The 16737-nt window shown below is 44.2% G+C and overlaps 1 protein-coding gene across 18 annotated transcripts in view; it reads right to left on the bottom strand.

The window, feature by feature from the left end:
- RPGRIP1 (RPGR interacting protein 1) overlaps positions 1-16737 on the bottom strand; it is a 71219-nt gene that overhangs the window by 12780 nt on the left and 41702 nt on the right. For 2 of the 18 annotated variants that reach the window (NM_020366.4, NM_001377948.1), the window contains 8 exons: positions 16518-16668; positions 13452-13904; positions 13139-13290; positions 12349-12691; positions 10715-10899; positions 9895-10098; positions 8135-8273; positions 3817-3917 (listed from right to left, as the gene is read on the bottom strand). In NM_020366.4, the coding sequence (NP_065099.3) occupies positions 3817-3917; positions 8135-8273; positions 9895-10098; positions 10715-10899; positions 12349-12691; positions 13139-13290; positions 13452-13904; positions 16518-16668 (1728 nt within the window). Of the gene's footprint in view, positions 1-3816; positions 3921-8134; positions 8274-9894; positions 10099-10714; positions 10900-12348; positions 12692-13138; positions 13291-13451; positions 13905-16517; positions 16669-16737 lie in introns of all 18 variants that reach the window. The other 16 variants (XM_005267879.2, XM_005267881.3, XM_047431609.1 and 13 more) reach the window with 14 other exon arrangements.

Below are 16737 nucleotides of genomic sequence, written 5' to 3'. Positions count from 1 at the left end.
CATTGAAATATATATCAACTCATTTGAACTTGCTGGCAGAAACCCTGCAAGGATTAGTGCCAGATAACACCCTTTGGCTTATTAGCTCAGATGTGCCACCTAATTTGGCTGGGGGGCAGGGCTGCCAAAACTTACTACCTGGCATACATAAGGGTCAGGAAATTCCTGACACCTGAAATTGACACGATAAGAGAAAAAATTTTGAGGTTCTCGATATTCACTATTGCTAAAGAAACAGTAATCTGGGACCATAGAGCAAATGAAAATGATTGCTCCCTCCTCATTAGTAACTGTTAAGAAGAGGGAGGCCAGGAGCGGTGGCTCACGCCTGTAATCCCGGCACTTTGGGAGGCCGAGGCGGGCAGATCACGAGGTCAGGAGATTGAGACCATCCTGGCTAACACGGTGAAACCCCATCTCTACTAAAAATACAAAAAATTAGCCAGGCATGGTGGCGTGCGCCTGTAGTCCCAGCTACTCGGGAGGGTGAGACAGGAGAATTGCTTGAACCTGGGGGGCGGAGGTTGCAGTGAGCCGATATCGCACCACTGCACTCTAGCCTGGGTGACAGAGCAAGACTAGGTCTCAAAACAAAAAAATTAGCTGGACGTGACAGCGTGTGTCTGTAGTCCCAGCTACTTGGGAAGCTGAGGCAGGAGAGTCGCTTGAACCCGGGAGGCGGAGGTTGCAGTTAGCCAAGATGGTGCCACTGCACTCCAGCCTGGGTGACAGAGCGAGACTCTAAAAAAAAAAAAAAAAAAAAAAAAATGCTTAACCTAGGCCGGGCGCAGTGGCTCATACCTGTAAATTCCAGCACTTTGGGAGGCCGAGGTGGGTGGATCACCTGAGGTCAGGAGTTTGAGACCAGCCTGGCCAACATAGTGAAACTCCGTCTCTACTAAAAATACAAAAATTAGCTGGTCGTGGTGACACACACCTGTGGTCCCAGCTACTCGGGAGCCTGTGGCAGGAGAATCTCTTGAACCTGGGAGGCAGAGGTTGCAGTAAGCCGAGATTGCGCCACTGCACGCACTCCAGCCTGGGCAACAGAACAAGACTCTATCTCAAAAAAAAAAAAAAAAAGCTTAACATTGAGAACTCCAGTAGGTCAGAGAAATGAGACTACTATTATCATCACACTCATCCTCACTATCATTTAGGGCTTAATTTGTCTCGGGCACTGTATTAAACCCTTATTTTAATCTTGCCACATCAGTATCAGATGGGTATACTTAATACTACCATTTTACAGATAAGGAGACAAGGCCTAATAGAGGTTAAAAAACTCTCTCAAAGCTGTATATCTAGTTAAGTAGCAGAGCTGGGATCTAAATCACTGTCTCAACCAAATCTCCATGCTCTTAAACATTACACTCTACTGCATTTCCATTTATCCCAGCTGACCCCAGGCAGAAGAGTGACAGAACTCAAGTTTTGACTCTGAGCTTTCAACCCCCTCTACCTTTCATGCCTGGACATTTTGGAATATAACAATAATTTAATATATATGTGCCTGTGTTGTACGTTTAACTTGATAATAACACTAATTTTTTGCTTAGATAGGCTCCTTTCTCATATTTAATTTCTCAAGTAACACTTTGGGGCACACAAGGAAGTTTTCTAAAAGGATATCTTACTTAGGAGCCTTTAATTTAGGTAATGTTTTTAATGAAATCTGGCTGGCTTGTTACAGTTCAAGATGAGTTTGCTGATCAGCTGGCTGCTTTTTTTGGTTACTTGAGAGGTTGCGCAGTTTAAAAACCTCAACTGGAGTTTCAGCTCTTTCACTAACTCAATAATCCTGTACACATCATTTAATCTTCTTTACCTTGGTAATATAGAAGTGTTATCTAATTCCAACATTCTGTGGCTCCAGTCTGTCTTACAAACACTTGTCAGATAACTACATAATATCTAAAAAAAGATATGATAGATAAAAGTTCAGACAAAGAGAAACTTAACTGGTTTTGTCGTTGCTGTTGTTTTTGAGACAGGGTCTCTCTCTGTCACCTAAGCTAGAGTGCAGTGGCAAGATCATGGCTCACTGCAGCCTCAAACTCTCAGGCTCAAGCAATCCTCTCACCTCAGCCTCCCAAATACTTAGGACTTCAGATGTGAGCCAACACGCCTAGCTAGTTTTTAAATTTTATGTAGAGACAGTTGTCTTGCTGTGTTGCTCAGGCTGGTCTTGATTCCTGGCCTCAAGCAATCTGCCTGCCTCAGTTTCCCAAAGTGCTGGGATTACAAGTGTGAGCCACCACACCTCAGCTGAAATTGAACTATGTGTTATATTCAGTGTTTAAGTCTACTGACTTTGAGTTTTTTCTCCTCACTCCAATATCCTTCATTTTCCTGCAGTTCTCAAGCACATGTTCCAGCTTTCAAGGAAGAGTTTTCCAACCTCTACAAAAGAAACCATAAATTCCCTTTTCTGATTTCTTACAACAGACTTTATATTACACAATCTACCTCCTTGGTTTTAGGTCATCCTACATTCTTATTTAATGTTTCTAATGAAGTTCATAATCATCAATTCACTCTGAATCTATTATTCAGTCACTCACTCAACAAATATTGAGGACCTACAAATGTGTCAGGCAGCAGCGACTTAAGAGTAATTGTTTTCTACCTCATGTGTAACCCACAAGGTTAGAACACAATGATTACTGAATATATGTGTGGATATTTATTAATATATGTGTGTCTCTTTTTTTTGAGACGTAGTCTCGCTCTGTCGCCCAGGCTGGAGTGCAAGCTCTGCCTCCTGGGTTCACGCCATTCTCCTGCCTCAGCCTCCCGAGTAGCTGGGACTACAGGTGCCAGCCACCACGCCCGGCTAATTTTTTTGTATTTTTAGTAGAGACGGGGTTTCACCGTGTTAGCCAGGATGGTCTCGATCTCCTGACCTCGTGATCCACCCGTCTCGGCCTCCCAAAGCGCTGGGATTACAGGCGTGAGCCACCGCAACCGGCTTTTTTTTCTTTTTTATATTTTTTTGATGCGTGTCTCTTAAATCAGTTCTGAAAGAGCTTTGAGGCTGAACTGTTTAATAGATAATTACAGGTTGAGTAAAAAACAGCAGAAATGGAATGATCTCCATGAGCCCTCCCATGAAGAATCCTGTCCTCTCTTCCAGACTCCATCTCCCAAAGCAAACCCGTTTTCCTTAGATGGACTTAAAGGCAGGGGTACCATTCAGGCTGGGCATGAATTACAGGACACAATGGAGGATATGGGAGTAAGAGGCAAAGGATCCAGATAGGACAGAAGTATTGAAGCAAGTCATCATTTACACTATCTCAAGAAAATGATCCTTTTATCTGACTGTACCAGCCGACCTTCATTCACACGAAACATAAATTTAACTAAACAATTTGCATTTTCCATCAGCTTCATTAAAACTGGATTGCCCTTCACTTGTGTGGCCACTAAGCACACTGTCATTATTGCTTTTTTTTTTTTTTTTTTTTTTTTTGAGACAGAGTTTTGCTCTTGTTGCCCAGGCCGGAGTGCAATGGCGTGATCTTGGCTCACTGCAACCTCTGCCTCCCGGGTTCAAGCAATTCTCCTGCCTCAGCCTCCTGAGTAGCTGGGATTACAAGGACGCTCCACCATGCCTGGCTAATTTTTTTTGTATTTTTAGTAGAGATGGGGTTTCTCCATGTTGGTCAGGCTGGTCTCGAACTCCCGACCTTAGGTGATCTGCCTGCCTCGGCCTCCCAAGGTGCTGGGATTACAGGCGTGAGCCCCCATGACTGGCCACTGTCATTATTTATCGTCTTATCTCGTATGCAATGATTACTCCAGTGTACTTACTGCCTTAGGATATTTCTGAGACATGGGTGGCACTATGACATCATCACTGTCGGTAGTTTGTGCTTCACTGACTTCAGAACCTTGTTCAGAGGATTCTTTGTCTGCTAGAGAAGAGGTTGCAGTTATAGAACTGTTTCAAAGCACTTTAGCCCAAGAAAAGACCCAGCACACACATCTCCAATCCACTGTCTGGTCACTAGTTCCGAGTGTCTAGATTTTGCCTTCACTTACTAAGAATCAAACCCTCTTTTTCAAAGGTACACTTATTCAGAAGCTTGCCAAACATACAGGATTCACTTCTCAAAAAAAGAAAGGGAAAGAAGGAAAAACAGAAAGGAAGAAAGGAAGGAAGACAGGAAGGAAGGGTGAGAGTAAGGAAGGAAGAAAGGAAGTCCTTTTGTGGGGGCTGAAGAAAATGGCCAAGCTTGAGGTAAAGCTGTGCAATTGGGTGGGGCAGATTGTATTTTCCAAAGATGGCCTCTCTGGCTGGGCGTGGTGGCTCACACCTGTAATCCCAGCACTTTTGGAGTTCGAGGCAGGTGGATCACCTGAGGTCAGGAGTTTTAGACCAGCCTGGCCAACATGGTGAAGCCCCGTCTCTACTAAAAATGCAAAATTAGCCTGGCTTGGTGGCACACTCCTGTGGTCCCAGCCACTCGGGAGGCTGAGGCAGGAGAGTTGCTTGAATCCGGGAGGCAGAGGTTTCAGTGAGCCAAGATCGAGCCACTGCACTCCAGCCTGGGCGACAAGAGACTCTGTCTCAAAAAAAAAAAAAAAAAAAGGTGGCCTCAAATGGTCTCTCCTATCTCAGCTGCTCTCCTTACAATGCGACTGACCTTGACGCTGCTCCTATTGAGTGGTGGGGTCTTTGTCCCCTCCCCTTCAATTAAGGTGGATCTTTTGGACTGTCTCAACTGAAAGAGTACGGTAGGAGTGATGCTATGTGACTTCTAAGGCCAGAACACAAAAATGCCATGGACTTGTACCTTGCTGTCTTGGAACTCAGCTACCAACCTGTGAGGAAGCCCAAGCAACCACTGACAGCCAGGACCACCTGATCAGCTAGTAGGGTGAGCTATCTTGCAAGATGAACCCATCAGCCCCCTAGCTGAGCTACCCCATCTAATGCCACATTGAGAGAGGAGAAATGAGCCTTCTTCATGAGACCTGCCTAACATGCCGAGTAGTGAGCCAAAGAAATGACAATTGTTTTAAGTCATTAAGTTTTGGAGTAGATTGTTACATAGCATTAGATAACTGGATGGCAAGCTGTGCCTCTTCTGTAAAATTTCAAAGTCTTGGGTTGTCTGTTTCACTGAGGTCTCAAAGGGAAAAGGTCTGAGCGGGCAGCAAAAGCAAAGGCTGCTAAAAGACACAAGGCTTTGTCTACATATGTGGAAATGGCCTTAAAATCAGGCCCTTTTCATTTCTTGATGGCCTTTACCTAATACCCTTAGATCTTTGTCTAAAAGATTAATAAGCTTCTTTTTCAACAACTACAGCATCCTGCTTGATAGCTCCACTCAGACATCTGAAACCAGGCAGATTTTAGCTTCTTGCGAGTACTAACTGGTGCTTTTGAGGTTTTTGTTTTGTTTTTGTTTTGAAATGAAGCATTGCTCTTGTTGCCCAGGCTGGAGTGCAATGGCATGGTCTCAGCTCACTGCAACTTCTGCCTCCCAGGTTCAAGCGATTCTCCTGCCTCAGCTTCTCAGATGGGGTTACCAGCACCCACCACCACACCTGGCTAATTTTTGCATTTTTAGTAGAGGCGGGGTTTTACCATGTTGGCCAGGCTAGTCTCAAGCTCCTGACAGGTGATCTGCCTGCCTCTGCCTCCCAAACTGCTGGGAGTACAGGTGTAAGCCACTGCGCCTGGCCAGTCTTGATCTTTTGAAATTCATGGAGAACAGCGATATTAAAACAATAACTAACAATTAGGCTTCCACAGAAATAGTCTTCTTTTATTATTTATGACTATAAATAGATGACCATATAGTACATGAGGTTTAGATTACCTTCTGGTCCCATATTTCACATTCTACAAGGAGAAAAAGCTAGTGGATATAGATTATACTCAATCAAATACCTGAAGAAATGTAAATTGGGAGTATGGAGATAACTGGAACCCCGCATTCAGGTCTGGATACACTGAAGCTATCTAGATACACTGTTACTATTTATTCTACTATTTTATGACTAAATAATATTCCATTGTCTGCAAATCATAAGAATGGAATTGTTCTCTTATAACCAGGATTTCTTGCCAGTCATGTAAATTTGGCTCTGGGAAATTTTGGGCTTGGTTATTCTTGTTAACCTTCCTTACATTGAGTAAACTTTGACGGAGAAATCAGATTACATAATCAATAGAAAAATTATCCTTCTCATGAGAAAAATCATTTATGCTCTTCCCATTTAAGAAGTTATGCCAAATACATTCAAAAGCTTAAAAATTATACTTTTAGGCCAAGCGTGGTGGCTCACACCTGTAATCCCAGCACTTTGGGAGGCTGAGGCAGGTGGATCACTTGAGGTCAAGAGTTCGAGACCAGCCTGGACAACATGATGAAATCCAGTCTCTACTAAAAATACAAATATTAGCCGGGCATAGTGGGGCACACCTGTAGTCCCAGCTACTCTGGAGGCTGAGGCAGGAGAATCGCTTGAACCTGGGAGGCAGAGATTGCAGTGAGCCGAGATTGTGCCACTGCACTCCAGCCTGGGTGACAGAGAGAGACTTCATCTCAAAAAAAAAAAAAAAAAAAATTATATATATATAAAATGCTTCTAGAGATTTAGAAAAAAAGCTTTTTTAAGTAGTAAAGACTCTCTTTTCATAATATTTCCATATCTACCTTTATATTTTTCCTCTCATTATTAAATTTTTCAAGCACATAGAAAAGCCCATGAAATATAAATGTTCAACTTATTAAATTGTTGTAAAATGAACATCTCTATCACCGTTCAGCCAAGAAATAGAACACTGGTAGCACTCCAGATGCCCAAAGGGTGTCCTTTCCTGATAACCCTCTTCCCCTTCTCCTAGCAGTAACCACTATTCTGACCACTGTCAGAAGTAGAGGAAGGCATGTGAGGCACTGACCTTAGGCATAAAATTTGAAGGGGTGCCAAAAACTCAATAATCAAGACAAACACTGTCCTGTTTTTTGTTTTTTGTACTGAGACGGAGTCTTGCTCTGTTGCCCAGGCTGGAGTGCAGTGGTATAATCTCAGCTCACTGCAACCTCTGCCTCCTGGGTTTAAGCAATTCTCCTGCCTCAGCCTCCCCAGTAGCTGGGACTACAGGCAGATGCCACCATGCCCAGCTAATTTTTTGTATTTTTAGTAGATGGGGTTTCATCATGTTGGTCAGGCTGGTCTCAAACTCCCGACCTCAGGTGATCTACCCGCCCATGCCTCCCAAAGTGCTGGGATTACAGGTATGAGCCACCACAACCAGCCAACAAACAGTTTTAATGAGAAAATCAAAACTAGGTCGGGTGCAGTGGCTCACGCCTGTAATCCCAGCACTTTGGGAGGCTGAGGTGGGCGGATCACCTAAGGTCAGAAGTTTGAGACCAGCCTGACCAACATGGAGAAAACCTGTCTCTACTAAAAATACAAAATTAGCCGGGGATGGTGGCACATACCTGTAATCCCAGCTACTCGGGAGGCTGAGGCAGGAGAATTGCTTGAACCCAGGAGGCAGAGCTTGCAGTGAGCTGAGATCCTGCCATTGCACTCCAGCCTGGGAGACAGAATGAGACTCCATCTCAAAAACAAAACAAAACAAAACAAAAAAATCCTGGGGCAAAATAACATTTTATAAACACTGAGAAAGTTACTTATTTAAGAATTCCAGCCTTGGTTAACCCAACCATCACACTTGTAACACAAAACTGGGCCTCAGGTCTTACATACTAATTTTCCATGAAAACTTTAGCATTCTAAGGTGAAGGAGAAAAGTAAATAACTAGCTTGGCAAAACAATTAAATGATTAAACAGAAAAAATATATATTTTTTTCTTTTTTTTGAGATGGAGTCTCGCTCTGTCGCCCAGGCTGGAGGAGTGCAGTGGTGCAATCTCGGCTCACTGCAACCTCCTCCTCCTGGGTTCAAGCAATTCTCCTGCCTCCGCCGCCCACGTAGCTGGGATTACAGGCGCCTGCCACCATACCCGGCTAATTTTTGTATTTTTAGTAGAGACGGGTTTCATCATGTTGGCCAGGCTGCTCTTGAAAGCCTGATCTCGTGATCTGCCCACCTCGGCCTCCCAAAGTGCTAGGAAAAAAAATAGATTTTAAAAGACAATACCATTTACAGGATGTAGAGGTTCCTTCTGTTTCAGTGCTGAATGGGATAATGTCATTTCCTCTTCCTCGTGCTGATTTTTAAAGCCATCACCTATGAAGCTGTTAGTCTCTGAGAACTTCCACTCAGTGTAATTCACCTGCTTCAGAATAAGAACAACAATACTACATAGCTGGTAATATCTTGGTTTTCTTTCTTCATTCCTTCCTTCCTGCCTTCTTTTTAAATATTAGCTCTTTTTATTTTTTTAATTTTTATTATTATTATTTTTTTGAGACAGAGTCTCCCTCTGTCACTCAGGCCAGAGTGCAGTGGCACCATCTCGGCTCACTGCAACCTTCGCCTCCTGGGTTCAAGCAATTCTCCTGCCTCAGCCTCCTGAGTAGCTGGGATTACAGGAGCCCGTCACCACACCTGACTAATTTTTCTATTTTTAGTAGAGATGGGGTTTCACCATGTTGGCCAGGCTGGTCTCGAACTCCTGACCTCATGTGATCCGCATGCCTCAGCCTCCCAAAGTGCTAGGATTATAGGCGTGAGTCACCATGCCCAGACAATACTGGCTCTTTTTAATTTTTAAAAGTTAGTACTCGTTGGCCGGGCATGGTGGCTCACGCCTATAATCTCAGCACTTTGGGAGGCTGAGGCAGGCGGATCACCTGAGGTCAGGAGACCAGCCTGATCAACATGGTGAAACCTCGTCTCTACTAAAAATACAAAAATTAGCTGGGTGTGGTGGCACGTGCCTGTAATCCCAGCTACTTGGGAGGCTGAGGCAGCAGAATTGCTTGAACCTGGGAGGCGGAGGTTGCAGTGAGCCGAGGTCATGCCATTGCACTCTGGCCTGGGCGACAGAGCAAGACTCGGTCTCAAAAAAAAAAAAAAAGTGAGTACTTGTTTAAAAATATATATAGTATTAAAACTTTAAGCATAAACTGTAGAGTACATAATATGCTGAATTAAATTACATTGAAATGAACAGTCCAGGGGTTTGTTAAACTACTTGTGTTTGTGGAAACACAAGCTAGCCACAATTAGCTATGATTATGGCTTATCTTATTTTTATTTTTTTGAGATGGAGTCTTGCTCTGTCGCCCAGGCTGGAATGCAGTGGCACGATCTCAGCTCACTGCAACCTCCGCCTCCTGGGTTCAAGCGATTCTCCTACCTCAGCCTCCCGACTGAGTAGCTGGGATTACAGGCACATACCACCATGCCTGGCTAATTTTTTTTTTTTTTTTTTGGTGAGATGGAGTTTCTCACTTGTTGCTCAGGCTGGAGTGCAATGGCGCGATCTTAGCTCACCACAACCTCCACCTCCCAGCTTCAGGTGATTCTCCTTCCTCAGCCTCCCGAGTAACTGGGATTACAGGCACACACCACCATGCCTGGCTAATTTTTGTATTTTTAGTAGAGACAGGGTTTCACCATGTTGGTCAAGCTGGTCTCGAACTCCTGACCTCAGGTGATCCACCCACCTCGGCCTCCCAAAGTGTTGGGATTACAGGCGTGAGCCACTGCACCAGGCCTCATTTTGTATTTTTAGCAGAGATAGGAGTTCACCGTGTTGGCCAGGCTGACCTGAGGTGATCTGCCCACCTCAACTGCCCAAAGTGCTGGGATTACAGGCCGAAGCCACCATGCCCGGCCGATTAGTGCTTATCTTGTGTGTCTGCTTCTGCTTCTGCTTCTACCTCTGAGAATAATACATCTGGGGACACTACAACCCACAATTTAGTGCTTCAGAGTTTTTAAGGTCTTACCTCTGGTGTATTTCCATTTAAGATGTTAAGGCTAAGATACTCCATTCTATTCTTTCCTTGAACACCTATTCTTTTGCCATGTTTTCTTCTTGAGTAGCTCACAACCTGGTGCTCCTTCTCCTTTCTTTCTCCCCCATGAGGAGGTTTTCTCTTAGATCGATACTGGCCAGCTTCAATGGGAACCTCAGGAGATGCCATCTGATCCTGAATAGAAAGATCAGAGATAGCATTACAAGCTGGTAGTTTAACAACCTAGAAACACAAGAAAGGGATTTGGGAACTAGTGTTAGACTTCATTTCTCTCCTCATGGAGCTGAGAAATGCTATTTCTCTCTCTTTTCCGCAGTAAAACCCAGGCTTTCGCTCCATCAGTAGTCTCATGGCATTATGAGGGATATATATTAAGTTCACAGGACACATGACACTCACAGAGGGAATTTCTTTTTCTTTTTTTTTTTGAGACAGAGTTCTGCTCTTGTTGCCCAGGCCAGAGTGCAATGGCGTGATCTCGGCTCGCCGCAACCTCCACCTCCTAGGTTCAAGTGATTCTCCTGCCTCAGCCTCCCAGTAGCTGGGATTACAGGCATGTGCCACCACGCCCAGCTAATTTTTTGTATTTTTAGTAGAGGCAGGGTTTCCCCATGTTGGTCAGGCTGGTCTTGAACTCCTGACCTCAGGTAATTCGCCTGCCATGGCCTCCCAAAGTGCTGGGATTACAGGCGTGAGCCACTGCACCTACTTCAACTATAATACTGTCTCCTTCAAATCTGCTCCATAGGATTGGCAGAGATCTGCTACCTGTGGAGTCCTGGAGAGTTACCTGGGAAGGAAATGAAGCCTTTTCCTCTTCAGATGAGATCTTTGAACTGTCCTTGGTATCCTTCCCCTTAGTCTGAGCTTCTGGTTTCAGGAAGCTCTCAGGGGGTATGTAGGGAAACTTCCAATCCAGTTGCACTTGAATAGATCCGTTGGGTTTCTCTGCAGGGTCAGTGAGGTTAAAATCACCTGAGAAACAAACAGATATTAATAAGACCTGATCACATGAAATAAGCAAGTGAGCATTTGTCAGCACCTTATCTACTTCCTTCCCATTTTTAATTTCAACATATTTTATCAGCAATTAATTAACATCCATTAAATAATTACGATGATGATACACTCAGAAGTAAAATCAAACAGCAGTGCAGTTAGAATATTAATCAGGGAAGATGGGTTATCTCTAGGATTCAGGAAGAGATAGTGAAGGGTGTATGAAAAGGAGTACAGCTTGCTTGTCATCAGTCATCCAGCCAATGAACAAGGCTGCATTATTATTACTATTATCAAATGCTTACTGTGCCTTAGTTGTACCAAGAAAACTGTTACCTCTACCCTCAAGTGGTCCCAAGAAAACTTAAGCAAAATGGCTCTTTCGAAATGCCAGATGTCTGATTTGTAACACTGATTAACAGGTGGCTTATACTGCCTCCCCTGTTTGGCAAAGGAGTTGTGTCCAGAAGTGTCAGCCTTTTTTTAAGCAGTTGTATTGAGGAGAGAGCTGCATACATGTCCTGGAGCATCCAGAATCTTGTTAAATATGGTTGTTTCTGACTGCAGCTATCCCCACTTCCTAAGGAAAACATGGATACCCCCACCTCACCCTCCCAGGACTGTAGTCAAAGAGTTGACCCCTCTTGGTACACCCCCACAATCCTAGGTATAAAAGTTAGGAAAGACAGTATGGAGCTCAGCTCCACATTGGGAGGAAAAAAAAAATCCAAGAAATTTGTGTTTGTCATGATCTGGTGTGGAAATCTCTCTAACTTGTGTCCAGTGTTTAAAAGAAGTGAGAGAATGATGGGGGAGTGTTAAGGTCTCAGTTTATAATCAGATATCTATGTAGTCATGCACTAAGAAACAACAGGCCTTTAGTAAAGACAGATACTAGACAGCATTACAGAGCTTGAAAAAGTTTGTTCAGCCAGGCGCGGTGGCTCACGTCTGTAATCCCAGCACTTTGGGAGGCTCAGGTGGGAGGTTCACCTGAGGTCGGGAGTTGAAGACCAGCCTGACCAACATGGAGAAATCCCATCTCTACTAAAAATACAAAAATTAGCCGGGTGTGGTGGCGCATGTCTGTAATCCCAGCTACTAGCCTGGGCAACAAGAGCGAAACTCCATCTCAAAAAACAAAGAAGTTTATTCAGATACAGAGGTATAGAATTCAGGTTGCTGGCTCTACCCACTTAGGAATGTTGTCTTTGTGGCTGAAAAGAAGCAGAAGAAGCCAGTGTTTCCACACAAGTAGTGAGGCTCTAAGTCTTCTGCTCTGTTGCTCTTGACAATATTCTAAATCCTTTATCTTCAGGTTTTAAGAGAGACTGTTTCAAGCAAGTAATCAAAGAAAAGTAGAATCAGGACAGGGAGACAACACTGGGAAGAGGGCGTGAAGATGTAATAACCTCGAACTCCCACCTTTGATAGATTCATTTTTTGCAAGAGGCAGTAAAGGCACTCGGGCTCGGCCAAGATACGAGCCAGGCTCTAAGTCTTCATCATCAAAAACATGTATAGACAAGGCCTCCCGTCTCAGATAATGGTCCAGGTCAGAGGTCACAAGCACTGGGAATCGAGCCTGGTCTCTAAAGTAGGGGTTGTTACTGGCTGGAATGATGGCAGTGTCATGGTCAGAAAAGGTGAAGAAGCGGTACACAGCATATGGACTGGGTTGAGTTCCCAGCCATCGACTCCGGAGGCCACAGCACTTGGTGATTTCAATCCACAGCTCGTTCTGAGGTTCCCAAGACTCCGATCTGAACTGGAAAGATGTTGGTCATGGATTGAGGAAAAGGGCAGCTTGAGACTGTTGTAGGTGAAGCCTAGGATCTGTGGTGAGGAAGAGCTATGATCTAGAGAACAGCTATCCCAACTGGATCAGGAAGAAACCTAATGATCTTCACCTGCCTGCAAACTGGCTCTGGCAGTTATTTCAGGGAGATACTGGCACTCACGACTTAACTTAGAGAATGGCACAGAGAAGCTATTCTGTTCACAGCAAGGATGAAGGATGTAGCTCGCTCCAAAGGCATACTTTCATTTCAGACTCAAGCCTGACCAAGGGAATAATCCAGACTAGTTGTGGTGTGACAGTTTTCTCTTTCATTCACATTCAACAAACACTTATTGAGAGTGGAAGACTGAACTGTGCTCATGAGCTGTTTGGCTGAGGCTCCTCTGAGATGCCTCGGCACATCTTTTTTCTCACCTCCTCTTCCTGGGCCTTCCGGCCTCCAAGCACATCGGTTGACAGGTAGACCTGGGCTTTCTTTCGTTTATTGCACGCCTGTAGGCTGGGTTTTATGGGGAAACGCAGCCTCATCCAGTACTCTAGAACCCCGAACTCTTCTCCACCAGCTCCTGGGTAGCAGAAAGTGTGAAAGCAGGGGGAATACAGATGGTGTGGCAAGGATCAAGAACAAGACAAAGGAAGAAAATAAGAAACCACCAGAAAAGCAACTGTAGGCTTTGGGAAATTCTGCATTGGTGCTTAGGAGCCGCAGGAAGCCAACGGCACTTACCAATCAGTGTGGCCAAGCCATGGACTTTCTCCACAGTCTCTAGCACCCTGTCAAAGCAAATCCATCCTGCAGCAAGAGTGCTGTGTTCACTGGCCATGGCCTGGTGTATGTCAAGCCGGGCTGAAGCCTCTTGAAGGTAGTGTAAGAAAAGCGAATCTGTCTCCATCACATACTGGGAGGTGAAGTCATAGAGGGGCTGTGGCCCCACAGATAATGGGGTACAGTGGGTTTCAAAGTCATAGAAGGAATAGGTGCAGAAAGTGGTAGGTTGGGTATCTCCAGCCTGAGCTAGGGCGGCAGATGTCAGGAAGGCCTGGTGGATGTGCAGTTCAAAAAGATTCTCACCCTGATGCAGCAGAGAAATATCCACTTTATCCTCATCTCCATGGGCTGGCAGTGTTTCCAAACATAACGACAACGGTCGGGTGCCATAAGCAACATCTTTGAGCTGTTCTAGAGGGGAAAGAAAGCTGCCTATCCGTTAAAGGGTAGGGAGCTCTTTCTTAGGGTAGAGGAGGGTGGACAAAAGAAATATAAAACACATGGTGGAAGTCCAAGTTGTGATTATTTCAAGAAACCACGTGATTCAAAAGGAAAAGCAACAGAAGGACAACCAGGAGCATTGAATTCCGATAGCCAAATAATCCAATGCCAGCTTTAGGGAGAAGGTACAAAAGGAGTGACTGGAAAGTAGATGCTAAACTTAGGAAAACACTGGGGGCACATTTTATCTTATATATGACATTGTTTTGGTGTACATCGTGGCCCTATGATTAACTGGTAATTCCATAAGAGAAGTACTAGAAACACAAAAACATGAATATTTCTACAAGTTTGGTATATTGGCCGTGGAGATAATAGCAAGTTGCAGACATAGTGTCTATGACATTACATTGAGTCCCACCAAGAAATGCTTCTCCTTCTCTAGCCAGGTCAGTCAGGAGATCTTTCATTCTGTTCAGAATTTGGTTTCAACATAAGAAGGCAAAAAGTACATTATAAGTTAAAGAGTAATGGAGTAAAAAGTGGGAAAAGAGACTTACTGGAAAGAGGTAGGAAATATTGGCAGTGGGACGCAAAGATAGGTAGACAGTCTAGCAAATCTGGGTATTATCTCCCAAGTCCAACCAATCAGAAACTTTGATATATAGCCTGCTTCAAATTGGGGAATATTTGAGTCAACACAGTGTGCTGCTGCCGAAGGTCCTATTTTAAGAGTTAAAGCAGTAGAATAAAATATTCTGGACACATCGGAATGTCTTCATGACACACACACACACACACGAATAAGGAGACTACTTTCTTAATTAACAAGATTAATATAATTAAATATAATATACTTAAAATTTTGCATTACATGATGCAGGAGTAATAATCTCAGCATAAAAAGAATTTCTATAAATCAATAGGATACTGTTAAGAAGTAGGCAAAGGATAGGAACGGTCAATTCTCAAAAGGAATAATACAAATAACTGGTGAACATAGAAAAACTCTTTAGTCTTACCAGTGATCAAAGAACTATTAGCTAAAGCAAATAAATCTTCAGACGTAGGTAGAAGCAGTGATCTTTTATCAGACTCACGCTGACATGGATAAATCACGGCCCAGAGACACTTATGTGCTTTTATTCTTTTTTTTTTTTCTTTTTGAGACAGAGTTTCGCTCTTGTTGCCTAGGCTGGAATGCAATGGCCTGGTCTCGGCTCACTGCAACTTTGCCTCCCGGGTTCAAGCGATTCTCCTGTCTCAGCCTCCTAAGTATCTGGGGTTACAGGTGCCCGCCACCATGCCCAGCTAATTGTTCTATTTTTAGTAGCGATGGGGTTTCACCATGTTGGTCAGGCTGGTCTCGAACTCCTGACCTCAGGCAATCCGCCCGCCTCGTCCTCCCAAAGTGCTGGGATTACAGGTGTGAGCCACCGTGCCCAGCCATGTCCCTTTATTCTATTCCATGCTCACTAAGAAACCTACTTACTGATTTTGCTTCCCGAAAGAGGGCTGCCCTGAACTGTGGTTCCAAGTTCCTCATGGAAGCAGTGGAATAGCCACTATTGTAAAATAACAAACATTTGGGTTTAAATATCAGCTTCTGGTTAATTTGGTTTTCGTGAGTCAGATCTTTCACCACTGGGTATAATAACAAAGCCAAGTGTCTTGACAAACAAGCCTGAGACCAGGCTCTGGTCAGCAGTGACTACACTAAGTATAGGAGGCACCACAATATGAAACTTGCATTCAGTGTCCAGCCAGCTGCCCTGTCACTGTCAGCATCCTCAAATTGCAACAAAGATTTTAGAGCTTTTAAGAGAGAAATCACTGACAAGAATAACAGGAGATGAGTGATGAAGTTCTATTATCCGACTAAAACTGCTTTGAGGAAACAGTGACTAGGAGAGAGGGACAGGGGAGAGGAGCAAGAGAGAAAGAATGAGAGAGAGAGAGAGAGATTGTGTGTTACACCACCACCCTGAGAGCCAACAGTGATACTCATTCTCACAACAGAATTAAGCCCCTGGAAGCAATTGCTGGGCCCACTTGAAACTCTACAGAGAAATCAGAAAAACATGATGGAGGGAAAGAAGCTGCTAACATGTATTAAAACAACAAAGATGGGCCGGGCGCAGTGGCTCGCACCTGTAATCCCATCACTTTGGGAGGCTGAGGCAGGTGGATCACCTGAGGTCAGAAGTTCCAGACCAACCTGGCCAACATGGTGAAACCCCATCTCTACTAAAAATACAAAAAATTAGCCAGGCATGGTGGTGGACAACTGTCATCCCAGCTACTTGGGAGGCTGAGGCAGGAGAATCGCTTGAACCTGGAAGGCAGAGGTTGCAGTGAGCCAAGATCGCACCACTGCACTCCAGCCTGAGTGACAGAGCAAGACTCCATCTCAAAAGCAAACAAGCAAAAAAAAACAACAAAAATGATAGGATAAAGAACAAGAAGGATAAGTCATATGCTAAGGGTATGAGAGGCACCCTTCTTGACAAGTACACAGAGTGGAACACAGGCGTTAGCTGTGGAAGGGTCCCGAAGTGAGGAGAACAAAGGACTAAGACTTGCCAGATGTTGGAAGGTCATGGCTTCTTAAAATACCTTCCAGCTGCTTGATACGGTTATTCTTGAGGTCTAGTAGTCGAGTCAACCTCTCCAGCTTTTCTTTGTGATCTCTATTATCATTGTCAGCTTTTGTCATCATTGCCTCCAGTTCCTCCTGAAACAAAATAATGTCTGAACTTTTCTATCTCAGTGGCCTAAAACCAAAGAGCATAAAAAATGTGGC

The sequence above is a fragment of the Homo sapiens genome, chromosome 14 (assembly GCF_000001405.40).
Source record: "Homo sapiens chromosome 14, GRCh38.p14 Primary Assembly".
In the NCBI taxonomy this organism is placed as follows: domain Eukaryota; kingdom Metazoa; phylum Chordata; class Mammalia; order Primates; family Hominidae; genus Homo; species Homo sapiens.
This window is presented reverse-complemented; position numbering and strand designations above follow the sequence as displayed.